At 45.6% G+C, this 21,605-nt stretch overlaps 1 protein-coding gene across 13 annotated transcripts in view; it reads left to right on the forward strand.

The window, feature by feature from the left end:
• Positions 1 to 20,076: 20,076 nt before the first annotated feature.
• Positions 20,077 to 21,605, forward strand: part of METTL22 (methyltransferase 22, Kin17 lysine) — a 45,577-nt gene continuing 44,048 nt past the window's right edge. For all 13 annotated transcript variants that reach the window (NR_134608.2, XM_017023660.2, XM_047434610.1 and 10 more), the window contains exon 1: positions 20,077 to 20,154. The gene's annotated coding sequence lies outside the window, so the exon portion shown is untranslated. The remainder of the gene's footprint in view (positions 20,155 to 21,605) is intronic.

Consider the following 21,605-nt stretch of genomic DNA (forward strand, 5'->3'; position numbering starts at 1 on the left):
CCCACTCCTGCCTTCATCCCAGTGACTTTCCCCCATAACCTGTGAGATTTCGTCTTTACAGCAACCCTATATTAGTTTCTCATGGCTGCTGTGTCAGATTATCACACATTTTGTGGCTTAAAACAACACAAATGTATTCTTAGAATTCTAGAGCTTGGGAGTCTGAAATCAGTCTCCCTGGGCTAAAGTGAAGGTGTGGGGAGGGCTCTGCTTCATCTGGAGGCTCCAGGGGAGAAATCATTTCCTTGCCATTTCTGGCTTTTAGAGGCCACCTGCATTCCTTGGCTTGCGGCTCCTCCCTCATCTGCAAAGCTGACCTCTGCTTCCACCCTTCCATCTTCTCTTTCTGACCCTCTTACCTGCCTCTTAGAAGGTACCTTGTGATCACACCAAGCCCACCTAGTTAGTCCAGAATAATTTCCCCACCTCAAGATCCTTAACTCAATCCCACCTTAAAGTCACATTGCCATGTAAGGTAACAGAGTCACAGGTTTGGGGGATTAAAATGTGGACATCTTTGGTGGGCCATGACTGTGCCTTCCACAAACCCTAATAAGGTAGGGACTCTCGATCACTCCTGCACTAGAGATGAGGAAACCGAGGCCTAGAGAGATAATGTGGCATGCAAAGTCACAAAAGCAGCAGGGATTGGAAACCAGGTTTATCTGAGCTGTGAGAGTTGGGTCTGGTTTCCACTGTGCTACAAAAGGCAATGCAGAAGTCAAGAGCAGGCCAGAGAAGAAGGCTTCCAGGAAGACAGGGACCCGAGGCAAGTTCTGTAAGATAAACAGGGCATTCCAGGGTGGCAGTGCCACACTCTGGCTCTCCAGAGTGACATCTATGCATGCGACGTCCCCAAAACACACCAGGCCAGGTTCCCCTGTAATTCCATAATGTCAAGGCAAAAATAGTAGCTTCAGTAAGGGCTTCAACAGTTCAGCTGGTGATCTCCATTCCGGAATTCATTTTAATGTTTGGGACCTTTCTTGAAGATCAGTCTCCTGTCTGAAAACTGGGCATTATTAATGCCTGTTAATCCAAGCACATTAGCCATCCTCCTCTACCTGCTTTCTTTCTTCTCCCTGACCCTGGAGAGGGTTTTTTGTTGTTGTTTTGTTGTTGTTGATGTTTGAGACAAGGTCTTACTCTGTTACCCAGGCTGGAGTGCAGTGGTGCAATCTTGGCTCACTGCAACTTCTGCCCCCGGGGCTCAAGCAACCCTCCCATTTCAGGCCCCCTGAATAGCTGGGACTACAGGCACACCACCACACCCGGCTAATTTTTATACTTTTGTAGAGACAGGGTCTCACTATGTTGCCCAGGCTGGTCTTGAACTCCTGGGCTCAAGCGGTACTTCCACCTTGACCTCCCAAACTGCTAGGATTACAGGCGTGAGCTCTCTCGCCTGGCCTTGTTTTTGTTTTTGTTGTTTTGTTGTTGTTGTCGTTGGTTGGTTGGTTGTTTTTGAGATGGAGTCCTTCTCTGTTGCCCAGGGTGGAGTGCAGTGGTGTGATCTCAGCTCATTGCAAACTCTGCCTTCTGGGTTCAAGCAACTATCCTGCCTCAGCCTCCTGAGTAGCTGGGATTACAGGCATCCACCACCATGCCCCGCTAATTTTTGTTTTTTAGTAGAGACAGGGTATCGCCATGTTTGCCAGCCTGGTCTCGAACACCTGACCTCAGGTGATCTGCCCACTTCGGCCTCCCACAGTGCTGGGATTACAGGTGTGAGCCACAGCTCCCATCACTTGTTTGTTTTTTAATAATTTTTTTTATTTGTATAAATGTAAGAGATCCAAGTGCAACTTTGTTACAGGCGTGTATTGCCTAGTGGTGAAGTTTTGGCTTTTAGTACATTCATCACCCGGGTAATGTACATTGGATCCATTAAGCAATTTGTCATCACCCACTCCCCTTCCGCCTCCAATCTTCCAAGTCTCCAATGTCTGTCATTTCACACTCTATGTCCATGTGTACATATTAGTTAGCTCCCACTTACAAGTGAGAACAGGCACTGTTTGGCGTTCTGTTTCTGAATTTTGTTTCACTTAAAATAATGGCCTTCCGTAATCCCAGCTACTCGGGAGGATCACTTGAGCCTACCACCAGCCTGGGAAACATAGTGTGACCCCATCTCAAAAATAAATAAATACATAAACGGTTTTTTTAGAAAAACTTTAGTTTCAGAGAAAAACTGAGCAAAAGATACCCAGACTTCCTGTGTACCTTCTTCCCATCCCTGTATAGCCTCTCCCATTATCAGCATCCCCCACCATCTGTTGCAATTGATGAACTCACACTGATATATTATGATCTCCCAGAGCCTGGGGTTTTGTTCAAAAACATTTTCCAGTATTAAGGAGCATCTTGTTTCTACAGCAGGAGAGGGAAATAAACTGTCTAGACACAGGCCAGACTAGCCTGGCCTTTTCCAACCTTAGCCATTACTTAAAGTCTGAATAGAATCCCCCAGAGAACTTGTAAGCGGAGACTCCTGGGGTCGTCCAGGCTGGGAAGGAGCAAACATACTTATTATAAAAATAGTATGTAACTTTTTTAAACTTTGCGGAAAATAAGAAAATAAAAGTCACCTATGATCTCACAACCAGAAAAGACTCTATTAACATGTCAGGTGCATTTCTTTTACAATGCTTTTTCTATGAGTAAAATAATGACAATAGCATCTACTGAGCTTATTCTGAATGCAGGGCCCTGTTTTAAGTGTTTATGTGCTTGGTCCCAATCCTCACTGCCATCCTTCCAGGCAGGGACTATTATTATCTCAGTTAACAGGTGAAAATATAGAGGCAAAGAGAGATGAAACTATAAAAGGATGGATAGATGTAAATATGTATGAATGGAAATGGAAGCCAGGATGGTAGATAAGAGTATGGTCTTTGGAAGAAGACCACTTCCTATTTTTCTCTAATTTTACATATTCCTTATATGGTAATATTGACACAAGTTGTAAAATGCATGTGTTTTAAAATTCAAAAGGTACAGAATGTCATACTGTGAAAAGTCCCCTTCCCTCTCCTGAGCCCAGCTAATCAGAGGCAACCACATTTAGCAATTTCTTTGTATCTTTCCAGAGTTGTTTTATGCAGACAAATATAGCTTTGGAGAGGTGTGTGTGTGTGTGTGTGTGTGTGTGTGTGTGTATCTGTCTGTGCATGCATTTCTCTCCACACAGGTGACAGTATAGTCTATGCTTTGCTTTGTTATAACAAAACATCTCACAGGTCATTACGTGTCAGTCAAGAGTGGTTTCTAATTTTATGAGTTGCATGGTGTTGAGAGGATATTTAATGAGTTCCACCTCCATTTGGGTCATTGTGAGAAGTAAATAAAATAATGCAGGTAAAACACCTACCCGGAGCCTGTTAGATAGTAAGTACTCACATGTAAGATATGATTATTACAATTTTCACCATCCTACATGTAGAGTTTTCCATTTTGTGCTTTATGACTAAAATTATGTCATTCCATTGGATATCACTTGAAAAAGTAAAAATAAACCTCTGTTCTTACCTTGTACCATATAGAAAAATTAACCGTAAATGGATGCCAGATCTAAATGTAAAAGCAAAAGCTATAGAGCTAAAAGAAAAATAGGAGAAAATCTGTGTGACCTTGAGTTAGCAAGGATTTCTTAGCTAGGACACAAAGAGCACAATTCATTAAAAAAAAAAAAGTGGTAACCCCCAAGTGATCGCTCATCCTGGTATTCATCCCCTCTTTGTGAATGTGTGGTTGAGTTCTGTAACTTGATTCTATGAGTAGAATGCAGCAAAGTTGATGGGATTTCATTTCTGTGATTATGTTACATGGGCTTGTAATTGTCATCTTGCTAGTGGTCTCTGTCTATTTGCCTTCTTAGCTTGTTCACTTCATGTTGGACAGGCCAACATGGCTAGAAACTGAGTCTGGCCAGCAAGGAACTGAGACCCTCTGTAAGCAGCTCTGGAGGAACTTAATTCAGCAACAACATGAGTGACTTGGAATTCAAAAGGTACAGAAAATTCCAAAGGTACAGAAAGCTCCTTCCCCAGTTGAGCTTTCAAATAAGACACTGGTCCCAGCTGACAACTTGATTGCAGCCTCATAAAAGATGGAAAAGCAGAGGACCCAGACAAGATGCTCCTGACCCACAGAAACAGTGAGATAATTAATGTGCATTGTTTCAAGTGACAAAGTTTATGGTGATTTGACCCACAGCAACAGGTAACTAACACAACTGGTATGATTCTGGAGAGTGGTTTGGTCCAGTGAGTCAAGGACCTAAACAAACAAATACCCTTTGATTCTGCAATTCCACTTTGGGAATTTATCCTAAGGGAAAAAAAAAGAGGCAATTGCACCCAAAAGTACATACAAAGATATCAATCACAAAATTCCCCCATCAAAGAAAATGCTGTAACATTTATTGTGGGCCAACTATGTGCCAGGAACTCTGTATTCTTGGCTTCACTTGAACCTCACAACAGTCCTATTCTTATAAGATCACCCCCATTTTACATACCAGAAAATGAAGTCTCCAAGAGGTAAAGAACTCACCCATGACTAATCAGACATGCTTATTAAATTCTAAGTACAATCTCTGGCACAAGGCAAATGCTCAATAAATCATACAGTGTTAGGAAGAATTCAGCTTCAAGTTGTAGAAACCTAACCCATAATGTCTTAAGCCAAAAAAGCTCATGGAACTGGATAGTTTAGCAGTGCAGAAGTGCAGCTGGCTCCAGGCATGGCTGTATCCAGGAGCTGGAAGATCATCAGGGCTCTATCTTTACCAATCTATTAGCTCTGCTTGCTTCTGTTTCTCAGGCTCTTACCACATGACAGGCAAAGGCCCAGACTTATTTCCTCCTGGCCAAGAAGTCTACAGAACAAAAGCATCTCTCTCCCCAAATCTGGAGACTAATCCCATAGAAGAATCTGATTGGCCATGGGACTTGAATCTGATTGGCCATGGATTGCATGAGCCCAGGAGGTTGAGGCTGCAGTGAGCCATGATCGCACCACTGCACTCCAGCCTGGGTGACAGAGCGAGACCCTGTCTCAAAAAAAGAAAACAAAGAATAATAAAAGCAGGCAGTGGGGCTGGATTTGGCCTATGGGCTGTGGTTTGATAACTCTTGTTCTACATGAACACTTCAGGGACTGTTGTTTAAGGAGAGCAGAAGACAGGAAGACGTGACCAGCCGTGGTGGCTCACGCCTGTAATCCCAGCACTTTGGGAGGCCAAGGCGGGAGGATTACTTGAGTCCAGGAGTCCTAGATCAGCCTGGCCAACACAGCAAGATCCCATCTCTACAAAAAATAAAAGAAATTAGCCGGGCACGGTGATGCATGCCCATGATCCCAGCTACCCGGGAGGCTGAGGTGGGAGGATCGCTTGAGCCCAGGAGGTTGAGGCTGCAGTGAGCTATGGTGGCGCCACTGCACTCCGGCCTGGGGGACAGAGCAAGACCCCATCTCTAAATAAAATAAAATAAAGGAAAATGCGTTAATTGAACTATTATCTACTGGTACCAAGCTGAGCTGTTTCATTTAATCCTTAAAACAACTCTGTCAGCTGGGCACTCTTACCCTCATTTCACAGATGAAGGAAACTGAGGCTCCCATTGCTAATAACTTGTCCGAAGTCATGTAGCTCATTAGGGAAAGGGGCAGAACTTGAAACCAAGACTCCAGAGCCCAGGTTTTGTGCCCACATCACGCTGCCTCCCCTGGATATCCCGTTACAGGTCCTTCAGCCCCCGAGTGCCCCCAGGCATCCTGGCCTCCCACATCCAACTCCCCCAGGCTCCCTCCCTCCCAGCCCACGCCAGCTCTCTCGCCTTCTTCTCCACAGAGCTCAGCAGCGTTGCTCTGTCTGCACACATTTTCCCAGATGAGAAAGAAAAAGTCGAAAATTTTGTTTTCGTACAAGCTGCCCTTTTTGCCTGTGGCTAAAATTCCCCTCAAAGAACAGGAATAACAACCAAAGTCATACAAAAGGGAAGCTGGCAACTTGGCCCTCCTTCAGGAATAGTCCTTAAGCTTGCACCATGGCCAGCCGCTGCCTGGGGGCTGGAGAGATGAGGAGGAAGAAAACCAAGCCTCCTCGGAGAGCTGATAGAAACAAGCACAGGTCCCCCATAGAACAGAGTCCGCTTAATTCAGCCTGCTCAGGCAATGGACAAAACTGTCCAAAGGATGGAGAGCTTGAAGGATGTGTAGAAATTCATCAGTGGGCAAGTCAGGAGGCAGAGCATTTCAGGTGCAAAGATCCAGAGGGAGGGCATGGTCTCTGGAAAGCAACCAACAGCCCAGTGTGGCAGTCACACCAGGAGTGACCAGGGGCTCTGTGGGGGGCATCTGAGCATTGGAGCTGCCCAGCACCTTTTCTTCCTTCTTCAGGTAATGGTACCCCAATTTTCCTTAAGGGAACCATCCCTTCCCACTGCACAGTCTTAGCGGGACTGCCAATCAAGTTGACCCACTCACCTACAGCCAACGTAGACCGGATGCTTTCTCTCTGGAATTTGCATCATAAACAGAAAATCTAATGATGGAAAGTATTTGGGGCATAAGGTTTAATCATTTCTGAGACAATGCCTTGAAGAAGGTCTCTGCTTTTGTCCTAAATTTCCTGAGGCTTTCTGGACCCTTTCTTTTTCAAGGCTTCGGTTTTCCAGCTTTTCTTTCCATTTGATGTCAGATACGCATCATTACATTTTTTAGCACATATTAGCCATCGCTGGTTTCAGGGGCTTCCAATCAGGCCATGTAAACAGACACAGAAATACATCTAGCCAGGTGTGAGGACTCAGTCACATGGCCATGGGGAGAGACAGAATGGATTAGACACTATAAGGAGTGAGTTTGGGATCAGAAATGCCAGGTAGGTGGCGACTGAAGACATACACATGAGCAACTAGGTGGCCCGAACTGTGACAATGACCTTTGGGATACAGAGAAGGGCTCATGGCCCAACCCAAAGAGTAGGTGCATGTATCACTCATTCAATCACAAGCATTTCTTAAGCACCTAAAGTGTGGCCAATATTTGCCCATCTTTGTGGCCACCTGCCTGTTTCTTTGTCATCTGCCACTTGTCTCCTGGATCAGCTACCTATTGCTGCATAATACGTTACCCCAAAACTTACTGGCATAAAATCATAATGATAAGGAAGGTCCATTGTCTTCTGTGGGTCAAGAATTCAAGACAGTCTTGGGTGGTCTCATGAGGTTGCAGTCAAGATGTCAGCCAGAGCTGCCATCACTTGAAGGCTTGACTGAGGCTGGAGGATTTGCTGCCAAGGTGGCTCCTTCATAGGGCTGGCAAGTTTCTGATTGCTGCCAAGAGGTGGTGAGGAGAACACCACCTCCAGGAAATGGCCTGGAGCATGACCAGCCATGTGGAGAGAGAGACCAGGAGCCATCGATATAACAGACACATGAGTGAAGAATCCAGCCCGGAAGTGGATCCTGCAGCCCCAGCTATTCTGGCCTATACCGTGTGCATCAGAGAGAAACAGCCCAGCCAAACCCTTCCTAAATTCCTGCCCCACAGATCTAGAAGCAAAATAAAACAGTTGCATTAAGACAGTACATTTTAGAGTAGTTTTTTTGTTTGTTTGTTTGTTTGCTTGTTTGTTTGTTTTTTTTTGCGACAGAGTCTCGCTCTTTTGCATAGACTGGAGTGCAGTGGTGCAATCTTGGCTCACTGCAACCTCTGCCTCCCGGGTTCAAGCGATTCTCGTGCCTCAGCCTCCCAAGTAGCTGAGATTACAGGTGACCGCCACCACACCTGGCTAATTTTTATATTTTTAGTAGAGTCAGGGTTTCACCATATTGGCCAGGTTGGTTTTGAACTCCTAACCTCAAATGATCTGCCTGCCTAGGCCTCCCAAAGTGCTGGGATTATAGGCATGAGCCACTGCACCCAGCCTAGAGTAGTTTTTTACTCAACGTTAGATAATGGAAACATACATTTGATTCCCTATTACCATGTTTTGCATCTACCTACAGGGTCTATAAGCTTGACTTCTTCTAATAGACTTTCTTGAGGGGACGGGAGGTACTGGATTACTCTGTCTACACTAGCAGAAAGCTGGTAGTGCCTGGGGGTTCACATCCTCCCATGGTGCCCCTTAGCCAATCACCGACTAGAGTAGGAGTATGAAAGCCCAGTTTCCTTGCTCTCGTGGGTTAAATGGTGCCCTCCAAAAAAATAGGTCCACACATGGCCGGGCATGGTGGCTTATGCCTGTAATCCCAGCACTTTGGGAGGCCGAGGTGGGCTGATCATGAGGGGAGTTCAACACCTGTCTGGCCAACATGGTAAAACCCCATCTCTACAAAAAATACAAAAAATTAGCTGGGTGTGGTGGCGTGCGCCTGTAATCCCAGCTACTTGAGAGGCTGAGGCAGGAGAATTGCATGAACCCGGAAGGCAGAGGTTGCAGTGAGCTGAGATAACACCATTGGACTCCAGCCTAGGCAGCAGTGTAAGACTCCATTTCACAAAAATAAATAAATAAATAAATAAATAAATAAATAAATAAAAATAGGTCCACACAGAAACTGTGCATCTGGCCTTAGTTGGAAAAACGGTCTTTGTAGATGTAATTAAGTTAAGGATATTGAGATGAGATAGCCCTAGATTATCTAGGTCAATGAGCCAATGGCAACTGTCCTTATAAGAACAGAAAAAGACATCAACACAAAAGATAACAGAAGGCCATATGATGATGGAGGTACACGTGGAACAGATGTGTCTACAAGCCAGGGGACTCCCAGGATTGCAGGGCCACCAGGAGCTGGAAGAAAGGCATGGAACAGATCCTCCTCTAGAGCTTGTAGAGGAAGCCGACCCTGCCAACACCTTCATTTCAGACTTCTGGTCTCTAGAACCGTGAGAGAATAAATTCCTGTTGATTTTTTCTTTCTTTTTTTTTCTTTCCTTTTTTTTTTTTTTTTTTTTTGAGATGGAGTCTTACTTTGTCACCCAGGCTGGAGTGCAATGGTGCAATCTCAGCTCACTGCAACCTCCATCTCCTGGGTTCAAGCGATTCCCCTGCCTCAGCCTCCCAAGTAGCTGGCATTACAAGCATGTGCCACCACACCTGGCTAATTTTTGTATTTTTAGTAGAGACGGGGTTTCACCATGTTGGCAAACCTGGTCTTGAACTCCTGACCTCAGGTGATCCACCCGCCTCAGCCTCTCAAATTGCTGGGATTAGAGGTGTAAGCCACCGCATCCAGCCAATTCCTGTTGTTCTAAGCCACGCAGTTGTGGTAATTTCTTAAGACAGGTCTAGGAAACCACCACACTTGCTTCAAGGCAGGACAAATGCTAAAATGTAATTTATGCTCCAGAAACCCACAGAATCAGACTGAGGATGGAATCTCACTTGAACTTGCCCTTCCCCTTCCCTAGTCTGCTTTCCTCACTCCACTTCCAGTTTCTCCTGGGAGCCCTTCCTCAATAAATCATTTGCATATCAATTCCCATTTTCAGTCAGTTCTGGGGCAATCTGACTTAAGACAGGTAATAAGGGGCAGGGCTAAGATTTGCACCGAGACTATCTAACCTCAGAAAGTTAGAAGACTCATGTCATTTATTTCAGAATCAGACCTACCTGGGCCAGCCCCCTAGGAGCTGAATGACCGTTAGGTAAGTGGCTTAGCATCTCTGAGCCTCAGTTTCCTGATCTACAAAATGGGGCCAGTCTTGCTATCTCCCCCTCAGGGCAGCCAGGATAATTAGAGATGGTGCATGTAAGGATGCAGCGGGAGTCCAGGCCTTGGACACTGTGTTCTGCATCACTGGGTGGGTATGGGGCAGATACATCTAGCCGGGTGTGAGCACTCAGGTGATGCAATCTCATCCCCAGGCAGTGCTCTGGAAGATGTGGACCCTCCATGAGCCCTCAATGTCCTGTATTGATTAGATTTGGTTTGCGTAGTGTTCCCAAGATGAAAGGAACTAATGGTGAGCCATCTTATCAAAGCATATCTGTTAGATCTGAAGGCTTGTGGTGTATCATCAGCTGAAAAAGAGAAAAATGCGAGGGGGGAGGGAAAAATCACAAAGGCCAGGAACACAATGAAAAGGGCAGTCTGTGTTCTAAATCTCTAACAGCAGCCCCACTCTTGTTCTCAGGGGATGGTGCTGATAGGGAAGGCATTTCAGATAGGGAGGCATTGACTAAGCCTGTCCCATTTCACTCATGAGGAAACTGACCCTCAGAGAGGTTGCCCAAGGTCTCACAGATGGGGTTGAATCCAGGTCTGCTCAAATGCAGAGGCCAGATTCTCAACCCCAGCCTCCCTTAAACTGGCTAAGGTCTCTCCTGACCTGATTCCATTCTTCCCTTCACCCTCCAGCCTAGTCCCTATCCAGCAAGTCCAGCATTTCAAACCACAACATGTTCTTGGAGGTTTTTACTCAATGCAGCTATGACACCCAGAGGAGTCTCAGAAACAAACAAGAAAGCCTGTCTATGAGCAGAACCACAGTCACCCACCCCTTCATGATCATGGATTCACAGTCATCTATCATGGCCCCATGTCACTAAATGTCAAGACCATGCCTGCACACCTGCACTGGAGATTTCAAGATGCCACTAAGAAATAGGAACTAACACTCAGCACAAAATGTTCTCTGGAGCTAGTTTGGACATTCTCAGTAAAGAAGAGACCTAGTGGGATAATCTGAGATGCCTCAGTGTTTTATAATTATATGAGTCATTTCCACCCAGATAGGACTGGATAGAGTTTAGAATGTTACTTGCACTGTGTGCTACTATACCCCTGAAAGAGGGGTGGAACTTGCTGGAGCAAATTAACTGTGGCATTTTTGCTCCATGTGGGGTCAACCCAGCCTAATACTGTGGCAGGAACAGAGATGAAATAGCTAAAATGGAATCAACCCAATGTCCATCTCAGTGGTTTGAATAAATCATCGTATTACATTCATTCCTTGAAATATACTGCTATGAAATGAACAAACCATATGGGACCAAGCATAGATTCATCATATATATATGTGTGTGTGTATATATATACACTTCATCATATATATATGTGTATATATATACATCATCATATATGTATATATATGTGTATATATATACACATCATCATATATGTGTATATATATGTGTGTGTGTATATATACATCATCATATATATATACATCATCATATATATATATATTTTTTTTTTTTGAGATGGAATCTCTCTCTGTCACCTAGGCTGGAGTGCAGTGGCATGATCTCGGCTCACTGCAACCTCCGCCTTCCAGGTTCAAGCGATTCTCCTGCCTCAGCCTCCCGATAGCTGGGATTACAGGCGTGCACCATCACACCCAGCTCATTTTTGTATTTTTAGTATAGACAGGGTTTCACCATGTTGGCCAGGATGGTCTCGATCTCCTGACCTCATGGTCTGCTCGCCTCGGCCTCCCAAAGTGCTGGGATTATAGGTATGAGCCACCACGTCCACCCAATTCATCTTATAATATTGAGTAAACAAGAAATCAAACACAAAAGAATACAACACAGTGTGATTCTATTTAAGGTTCAAAGCAAGCAAAGCTAAACTATATTGTGAGGGTGCATGCTTAGGCAGTAAAACTATAAAAACAAGCAAACTACTGAGAACCACGGAAGAAAGGATGGTGAGTATTTCTAAGGGAGTGAAGGGGAAATAAACAGAAGTTTCTGGGGTTCTGGCAATATCTATAACTTGAACTTGTTGGTAATTACATGGGTGTTTCCTTTATAACTATTTGTTATACTTTATATACTGTATATGTTGCATAGATGTGTTATATGAATGCTATATATCACAACAAAAATGTTTTAAGACTGTCATTTGGGGCCAGGCATGGAGGCTCACACCTGTAATCCCAGCACTTTGGGAGGCCAATGTGGGAGGGTCACTTGAACCCAGGAGCTTGAGACCAGCCTGGACAACATAGCGAGATCTTGACTGTACTGAAAATAAAATTTAAAAAATTAGCCAGGCATGATGGCATGCACCTGTAGTCCCACCTATTTGGGAGAAAGAGGTGAGAGGATTGCTTGAGTCCTGGAGTTTGAGGCTGCAGTGAGCTGTGATTGCACCACTGCACTCCAGCCTGAGTGACAGCACAAGACCCTGTTTCAAAAAAAAAAAAAAAATTAAAGAATGTCGTTAGGGAATTACAAATTATAGACAACAATGGGATATCACTATACACCTATTAGCATGGCCAAAATCCAGAATACTGACAACCCCAAATGCTAGCAAGCATGTGAAGAAACAGGAATTCTCATCCATTGCTGGTGGGAATGTAAAATGGTACAGCCACTTTGGGAGATGGTTTGGGAGTTTCTTACAAAGCTAAACATACTCTTATTATATGATTCAGCAATTATACTCCTTGATATTTACCCAAATGAAGTGAAAATTTACGTACACATAAAAACCTGCACACAGATGTTTATAGCAGCTTTACTCATGATTGCCAGAATTTGGGAGCAACCAAAATATTTTTCAGCAGGTGAATGGATAAAAACTGAAGTACATCCAACAGTGGAGAATTATTCAGTGCTAAAAAGAAATGAGCTATCAAGCCATGAAAAGATACGGACAAACTTTAAATTCATATTACCAAGTGAAAGAAGCCAGCCTGAAGAGGGTACGTATAGGATGATTCCAACTCTAGGACATCCTGGTATGGAGACAGTGAAAAGATCAGTGGTAGCCAGGAGATGGGGAGGAAGAAGGGATGAACAGGCAGAGCAGAGGATTTGTAAGGCAGTGAAACTCTTCTTTATGATACTTTAATGGTGGGTACATGTCATTACACATTGGTCCAAACCTACAGAAGGTACAATACCAAGAGTGAGCCCTAATGTAAACTATGGACTTGGATGATAAATGATTGATATGTTTTGGCTGTGTCCACAACCAACTCTTACCTCGAATTGTAATAATCCCCACGTGTCAAGGGCAGGGCCAGGTGGAGATAATTGAATCACGGGGGCAGTTTCTCCCATACTGTTCTCGCGATAGTGAATAAGTCTCATGAGGTCTGATGGTTTTATAAACGGGAGTTTCCCTGCACAATTTCTCTTTCCTGCTGCCATGTGAGATGTGACTTTGCTCCTCATTTGCCTTCTACCATGATCGTGAGGCCTCCCCAGCCATGTGGAACTGAGTCAACTAAACCTCTTTCCTTCATAAACTACCCAGTCTCAGGTATGTCTTTATTCACAGTGTGAGAACAGACTACTACAATGATGATGTGTCAATGTAAGTTCACCGATTGTAACCCATGCACCACTCTAGGGGGTAGGGAAGGAGGATGTTGCTAATGAGGGAGCTTAAGGGCAGGGGCAGGGAGAATATGATCCACGCACAGGGAATCTCCGTATTTTCCACACAGTTTTGGTGTGAACCTAAAACTGCTCTAAAAATAAAGTTTATTATTATTTTTAAGTTTTAAGAAATAAAGAGAAGGCAAAGGAAGAAAAGAAAAGGAAAAGGGATCTTGGGCACATAACTTACTCTCAGCACCTCGTCTATAAAATAGGAACAAGAATATCTTACTCACAGAGTTGTGAGGACAAAAAGTGAGAAAATATGCTAGCTGTCCAGTGTATCTTCCATTCATCTGGAAGTTACTGACCAGGACATGAGTTCATATTCCAGAGCCACTGCCCCCTTACTAGCTAGAAAAAAACCAACTGGCCAGGAGAAGTAGGTCAGACCTGTAACCCCAGCACTTTGGGAGGCCACGGCAGGAGGATCACTTGACCCCAGGAATTTGAGATCAAGCTTGGCCTTAGTGAGACGTCATTTCAGTGGCACATGCCTTTAATCCAGCTACTCGGGAAGCTGAGGTGGGAGGATCACTTGAGCCCAGGAGATCCAGGCTGCAGTGCGCTGTGATCTTGCCATGCACTCCAGCCTGGGTGATGGGATCTAACCAAAACAAACAAACAAACAAACAAAAAACACGCCCACTAACTTGAAGGAAACAGATGTAGTTTATTTATTTATTTTTTAGACAGGGTCTTACTCTGTCACCCAGGCTGGAGTGCAGTGGCATAATTGCAGCTCGCTGTGGCATTTATCTCCCAGGCTCAAGTGATCCTCCCATTTCACCCTCCCCAGTAGCTGGGACTACAGGTACATGCCACCACACCCAGCTAATTTTTTAATTTTTGTAGAGAAAGGATCTCACTATATTGCCCAGGCTGGTCTCAAACTCCTGGCCTCAAGAGATCCTCCCACCTTGGCCTTCCAAAGTGCTGGGATTGCAGGAGTGAGCCACTGCACCTGGCCAAGATGTAGTTTAAATAAAATAGGATAAATAAATAAATAAAATAGAAACAGAAATCAAATGAAAGACCCAAAGGCCGTCAGACAGTGACAAGTTCAAAAGTGGCTAATCCTTCCCTGGGGACAAAGGTACATTAGCCTCCCCACCCCTCATCTCACACTCTGGTTGCTCTGTGTAGTTGAGGCTGAGGATTGCGGTCTGCTGGGATTCTACAATCAGTGCTAGGATTCAGGGAGGAGAGGCTGGTCAGGAAGAGACACTGCCCACGATCCTCTACCACATTTGTGGCCTCCCCAGGGTCTTGGGGGTAACCTAGAAAGAAGATAAACAGAGCAGGCTTGTGACAATTGAAAATATCTATTTTTCTCCCAAAGCCAGACACAAGAAGGAACAGGGTGACTTCTTCAGCTCATCTCAAGGGAACACTTTGATCCAGGTCTAATGGATCACTAAAGTCTCTTCTCCCCGCTGAGTGGGTGGAATGTCAACAGCCCAGAGCAACAGTACCCCCAGTTGTGTTCCAGATGTCTTCAGTCTCTCATTCATTCTGCAAATAACCCCACCTCCAGGTCCAGCCCCTGTGATGTGCCAGGTGCTGGCATTATAGCAGCCAGGCAAGGCTCTGCTCTCAAGCAGCTAACATTGTAGCTCAAATAAAAAATAACAAATAGGCCAGGTGCGGTGGGTTACCCCTGTAATCCCAGCACTTTGGGAAGTCGAGACAGGCGGATCATGAGGTCAGGAGATCAAGACCATCCTGGCTAATGGGGTGAAACCCCGTCTCTACTAAAAATACAAAAATAGCAGGGCATGGTGGCACGCACCTGTAATCCCAGCTACTCAGGAGGCTGAGGCAGGAGAATCGCTTGAAACCAGGAGGCAGAGGTTGCAGTGAGCCGAGATTGCACCACTGCACTTCAGACTGGGTGACAGAGAGAGACCCTGTCTCAAAATAAATAAATAAATAACAAATAGGTCATTCCAGAGAGTGACAGATCTAAAAAGAAAATATAAGTTGCCAGGTGCAGTGGCTCATGCCTGTCATCCCAGAAATTTGGGAGGCCAAGGTGGGAGGATTGATTGAGCCCAGGAGTTCAAGACCAGCTTGGATAACACAGCGAGACCCCATTTCTACTTTTAAAAAATGAAATAAGAAAGAAGATTAAAGGGTGTGTAAAGGAGAGCTACTTGGGCAGATAGTAGGGGTCAACACATGATGGGATGGGCAGGGAAGGGCCAACTGAGCAGATAATATTTAAGCTATGGGTCGGGCACAGTGGCTCATGCCTGTAATCCCAGCACTCTGGGAGGCCAAGGTAGGTGGATCACCTGAGGTCAGGAGTCGGAGACCACCGTGGCCAACATGGCAAAACCCCGTTTCTACTAAAAATACAAAAATTAGCCAGGCGTGGTTGCTGGCGCCTGTAATCCCAGCTACTCGGGAGGCTGAGGCAGGAGAATTGCTTGAATCCAGGAGGCAGAGTTTGCAGTGAGTAAAGATCGCGTCACTGCACTCCAGCCTGGGTGACAGTGAGACTCTGTCTCAAAAAATAAAAATAAAATAAAATAAAAAATAAAAATAATTTAAGCTATGTTGGACGAGAAGGAACCAGTTGTGACGATGGAAACTGGGCTGAGAGTGGGCTTTCTGAGCCAAGGGGAATGCAAATAAAAAGACCAGTAGGCACAAATTAGCTAAAACCTTGTATTAGTCTCTTAACTAAATAAAACTGGGTGACTTTAACCAACAGACCTGCATTCCCGCACAGTTCTGGAGGCCACGAGTCCAAAATCAAAGTAGCAGCATGGCTGGGTCCTTCTGGAGGCTCTGAGGGAGAATCCGTTCCGCGTGTCTGTCCTGACGCATGGAGGCTGCCGGCAATCCTGGGCGATCCTTGGCTCTTACATGCCTCACCCCATTCTCCGCCTGACTCCACATTGTCTTCTTTCTGAGTCCTCTCCTCTTGTGATAAGGACAGCTGTCATTGGACTTAGGGCCTGCCCTAAATCCAGGATGATTTCAAGATCCTTAACTACTTGCATCTACAATGACCCTATTTCTTTTCTTTTTTTTTAATACAGGGTCTCTCTCTGTTGCCCAGGCTGGAGTACAGTGACGCAAACACCACTCACTGTGGCCTCAACCTCCTGGGCTCAAGTAATCCTCCCTCCTCTGCTTCCCAAGTAACTGGGAACATAGTCATGCACGAACATCCCCAGCTGATTTTTTAAAGCTTTTTTGTTTATTTTGCTTTATTCCTTTTTACAGCTGAATAATAATCCCTTGATGCATACACCACATTCTGCCTAGCTTGAGAAAACATATAATTGTGAGGGTTTTTTTATTTTACATAATTGATCTTATACAGTATGAATGGCACTGTAACTTATTTTGTTTTTTGTTTTTCATCTACCAATGTGACGTGGTGAAGTGAGTAAAACTGGTGGGTTCTTTAAAATATAACAGACACTGTCAGATTATCTCAAGAAATGGAAGGGAGTTATTGTCTGGAACTCTCCACGGGTGATATGCCACTCATTCTCACAACACGCCAAGAAAGGTATTATCAGTATTTGAGCCACTAGGAAATTAAGTTTCATAGAAGTAAAGCAATTGCCCAAGTACCAAGGATATGAAAAGCTCTTCAAAATTAGGTAGTGAATGGATGAATATAATTAATCAGTGGCCGAGCTGGGGATTTGAACTCAGCTCTGTGCTCTTGAAGGTCAACCTCCTGCCTCTGCACACAGAACCAGGAACCAGAGCGCAGACTGCTGTGCATTCAAAGCAGCTGCCGTGATATGCTGATGGGAGGCGGGGGCAGAATTATCATCACCCACTTTCAGCAGTCCTGGAGGACAAGCTCTCTCTCCAGGAGGACAAAATTTTCTGGGGCTGACTGGGAAAACACATCAAGCATTTGGTAAATGCACGACCTTTGGAGAAAGGGCTGTTCTGAATAACCCAGCTAATAATAATCACCCGACAGCAATTTCCTGCAAGCTGGTTTCTTAATACACATCTGGCAGTTCATCCGCCTTCCCTCTGCTGCAGACATGGTTTGTCATTAGTCCAGGTGGTGGGAGTGATGGACACTCCAGCGTGTGTGAGCATGCACCTTAACCCTTGCTTCGCCAAGTCTGGGGGAGACTCTCAAAGCAAAAGACCTGCCTGGGACACTAGGGAGGGCATTTAACCCTAAGGCTCCACCCAGCAGACTCACTGGGACATTTTGAAAATGTGAGTCTGAGGCCAAGTGTGGTGGCTCATGCCTGTAATCCCAGCACTTTGGGAGGCCAAGGCGGGCAGATCACGTGAGGTCAGGAGTTTGAGACCAGCCTGGCCAACATGGTGAAACCCCGTCTCTACTAAAAATACAAAAATTAGCTGGATGTGGTGGCACACGCCTGTAATCCCAGCTACTCAGGAGACTGAGGCAGGAGAATTGCTTGATCCAGGGAGGCAGAGGTTGCAGTGAGCTGAGATGGCGTCACTGCACTCCAGCCTGGTCGACAAATGGAGACTCTGTCAAAAAGAAAAAAGAAAAGAAAAGAAAACGTGAGTCTGCGTCTCACTGGCTAGGTAACACTGAGCAAGGCACTTCACCTCTCTGAGCTTCGGAATGGGTGTGAGAATGAAACAAAACCACAAGATGAAGGGGCCAGCAGTGTGCCTTGTTTATAACTGAGGCTCCGGAACTGAGGGCCCCCTCCCGCACTCCCCCAGCTACCATCTCTTTGCAGCCCTGCCAAGAAGGGCTGGCTTTCTTTCCCCTTACCTGGTGACCTATTACTGTGTTGCAAACCACCTCAAAATTTGTGGCAGAAATGATAACCCTTTTGGGGCCATCTGGGCTGCTATAACAGAATACCATACATGGGGTGGCTGATAAACACATTCATTTCTCATGGTTCTAGGGGCTGGAAAGTCCAAAATCAAGGCACTGGCAGATTCTGTGTCCAATTCTTGGTCATAGATGGCTGTCTTTTTGCCGTGTCCTCACATGACAGAAGAAGTGAGGCAGCTCTTTGGGGCCTCTTTTGTAGGGGCACTAATCCCCTATAAAAGATTATAGGTTTGACAAGAGGAGGAATGTGATCTTTTGATTTTTAAGGGTCATTCCCCCGGTTTAAATTTGAAGACAAAACTCCCAAGGGTGTGAACAATGCCTTCCTAGTGCCCTCCCCACCACTCAACATCCTCTGGGGATAACTAAGAGAACCCTCAGCGAACTAGAGAGAAAACTATGAATAGAATCTGGTCCCAAGACACCCAACTGGCTCTCTGTGTACTGTCCTGGGGGATTTCAGGAAACATAATCTGTTTCTTAAAAAAAAAAAAAAAAAAAATTCTTATTTGTGTCGCTTAGTCACCCTATCAACTCTCCACGTTTTATCATCAGTAACCATGAAATTGATGTTGATTTAATTCTATTTTGAAAAGAGAAAAAAAAGTAATTTAGACAAAGGTTGCCAGCTGAGGCCATGTGTGTGCGTGTGTGTATATGTGAACACACAGGGATATAGATTTTACATATGTGGACTTTACATATGTTCCTGTGTGTATATTTGTATGTTCACTGACATGTCTGAGAGTGAGCACCACTGTGTGTGTCTGGGCATGTCTGTGAACACGTCAGTGTGGTGTATATCCCTGGCAGCTCCCCATCTCACGCACAGTAAAATCCAAAGTTCTTAGAATGTCACAAAAGTTCTAACCCTGGCTACCTATGTATCCTCGTTTCCTGCGGCCCATCCCCTGGCTTACTCCATTGTGGCCAGGCTGACTTCCATGATGTCACTGAATATATAGATTGAGAAAAGGGCCAATATTATTGACTGTACTTTTTCTAAAAATGCAGTGACTCAGGCAAGAGACGTGAGAATCTGTGGTCTATCCTGCTCATCCTCTTCAGGGGATTCTTCTGAGGGCTGTGCTCAGTCACGGACTCAGAGGCTTTCTGAAATTCTGCAGGCAAGAAAAAACGAGCAAACATGGAGTCTTATGTTTGCCACTCTGTCTCACCCCCTTGGTGTTGGAAACTTGATGAGCATACGAATTAACGAAATCACTACCACCTAATGAAATCACTACCACCTATTAATAATAACAAGTACTGGCTGGGCGTGGTGGCTCATGCCTGTAATTTATGAGCTTTAGGAGGCCGAAGCAGGAGGACTGCTTGAAGCCAGGAGTTTGAGACCAGCCTGGGCAACACAACAAGATACAGTCTGTACAAAAAAAAAAAAAAATGGTGCCACGCAACTGTAGTCCCAGCTACTAGAGAGGCTGAAACAGGATTCCTTAAGCCCAGGAGTTCAAGGCTGCAGTGAGCTAAAATTGCGCCGCTGCACTCCAGCCTGGGTGACAGAGCAAGACCATCTCAAATAAACAAACAAACAAACAAACGAGTACTAAGAGCATGGATGACGGTAACACCCGTGATAATAAATACAGTAGCATGCTGGTTAAATAGCACCGGCTCTGATCCCACACCCCGGGTTCGAATCCAGGCTTTACCACTTAGTAGCTGGGAGAGTTATTTAACTCCTATTTAAGTCTTTTAGAGGAATGAGTTTAGCCACCTAGGCGGGTCCCCCCAGCAAACACGCCTCGCCCGCGACCAGAGCGAAGGCTACAGGTGCCCGCCGGCAACCCTCGGACGCATGCGCGGCCCGGGCAGGTAGGTGGAGCCACGGTGCGGGGCAGTCGGATGGTCGCACGCGGGGGCGGGGCCGCGCCTGCGCAGACCGCCTGTTATGGCGGCCGCCTAAGTCCCACAGAGACGGGAGTCGGGTGGGATCCCAGGCTGGGCCCCGCGGCGGGTAAGTGCCTGGGAGAGGCGGCGGGATAGGGTAGGGTGCAGGGAACCTCCTGGCGCCGAGCCTGACTTTGAAATCCGAGCTCCCACAGATCGGAGGCCCAGATCCCTAAGGCCCGACCCCACTCTTAGCGTCAGTTTCCCCTTCTCAACACGGGTGTTGGGGAAAGAAGTCCACGTCCTCACCTGGGTTTCCATCCTGGGTCCAGGCACCTCTCCTTCGGTTCTAGATTAGGAAGGGAGGGCAGTGCCCGACCTGTGACTGTTTTTTGAGAGGGCAATAGTTAACCCACAAGGGTGGCGTCAGGAAGGCGACAAGACAAAGAGAACGAGTAGCCCCACGGGGGACGTCCCCGGAGCCCCTCACTACCACTCTACGCACCGTGGCCAGGCCACGTCTTTCCTGCCCCCAGCCTGGGCCTTCACACCCTGCCCTCCCCAGCTCCTGGCCTAAATCGTCATGGGATCGCGCCAAATTATTGATTGTTGAGTGAGTTGCAGTTATCAGAAAGAAAGATGAGGAGGGAAGTTATTTCAACACCGTGATCCCAGCACACTGCTTATTTGGGACAACTGACTGGGGACCTATAGGAGAAGAAAGCTGGTAGCGTCTCAGTCTAGCCCCCACAGCCTTAGAAGAGCCAAGAACACGTTAGCTCCTGCTGCAGGGATGAGCCTGCAGCCCTATGGAGAGGTGGTGGGGCAGGTCCCCATCTGCAACCTGGGTCTCCTTTCTCAGCTCTGCCCAGTAAAGAGAGGAGCCCGAAGCCCATACAGACCCTGCATTTCCGGAAAGAGACTTTTCCTGACTAGAGAAACTGTTACCTTTTTTCTTTCTTCCCAGCATTCACTTTAATCATTATTATATTACTATAATGATAGTATTTACTATTGTTGCTTATTGAACGTTTACTATATGTCGTAAGCCCGAAAAGTGGTAATTGTCTCATATACTCCTCTGAGTATATGAGGGCCTGAGATAGGTTCAAGAGGGCCTCCTTATTCCCAGATAGCTGATTCTAGGGAAAGCCACTTAAAGGGAATCTCCTTCATCTGGAACTTACATTGCAGCGTACATTTCTTGGGAAGCCTGGTTGGGTTGAATTTAAAAATGGAAAATTCAACTAGAGATTAAGAATTTGAGTTTTTTTGTGTGTGTCTATACTTAAAATTTGGTGTGTAATATTATGCTCACTTTTGGAAAAAGCAAAGAACATTGATTTTTCTGGGATGTAAGTTTTCCAACAAAATTGCGCTATAGGCCATGCCTGGTGGCTCACACCTATAATCCCAGCACTTTGGGAGGCCAAGGTAGATGGATCTACCTTGGTCAGGAGTTCAAGACTAGCCTGGCCAACATGGCAAAACCCCATCTTTACTAAAAATACAAAAATTAGGTGGACATTGTGGTGCATGCCTGTAGTCCCAGTTACTCGGGACTCTGAGGTAGGATCA

The sequence above is a fragment of the Homo sapiens genome, chromosome 16 (genome assembly GCF_000001405.40).
Source record: "Homo sapiens chromosome 16, GRCh38.p14 Primary Assembly".
In the NCBI taxonomy this organism is placed as follows: Eukaryota; Metazoa; Chordata; class Mammalia; order Primates; family Hominidae; genus Homo; species Homo sapiens.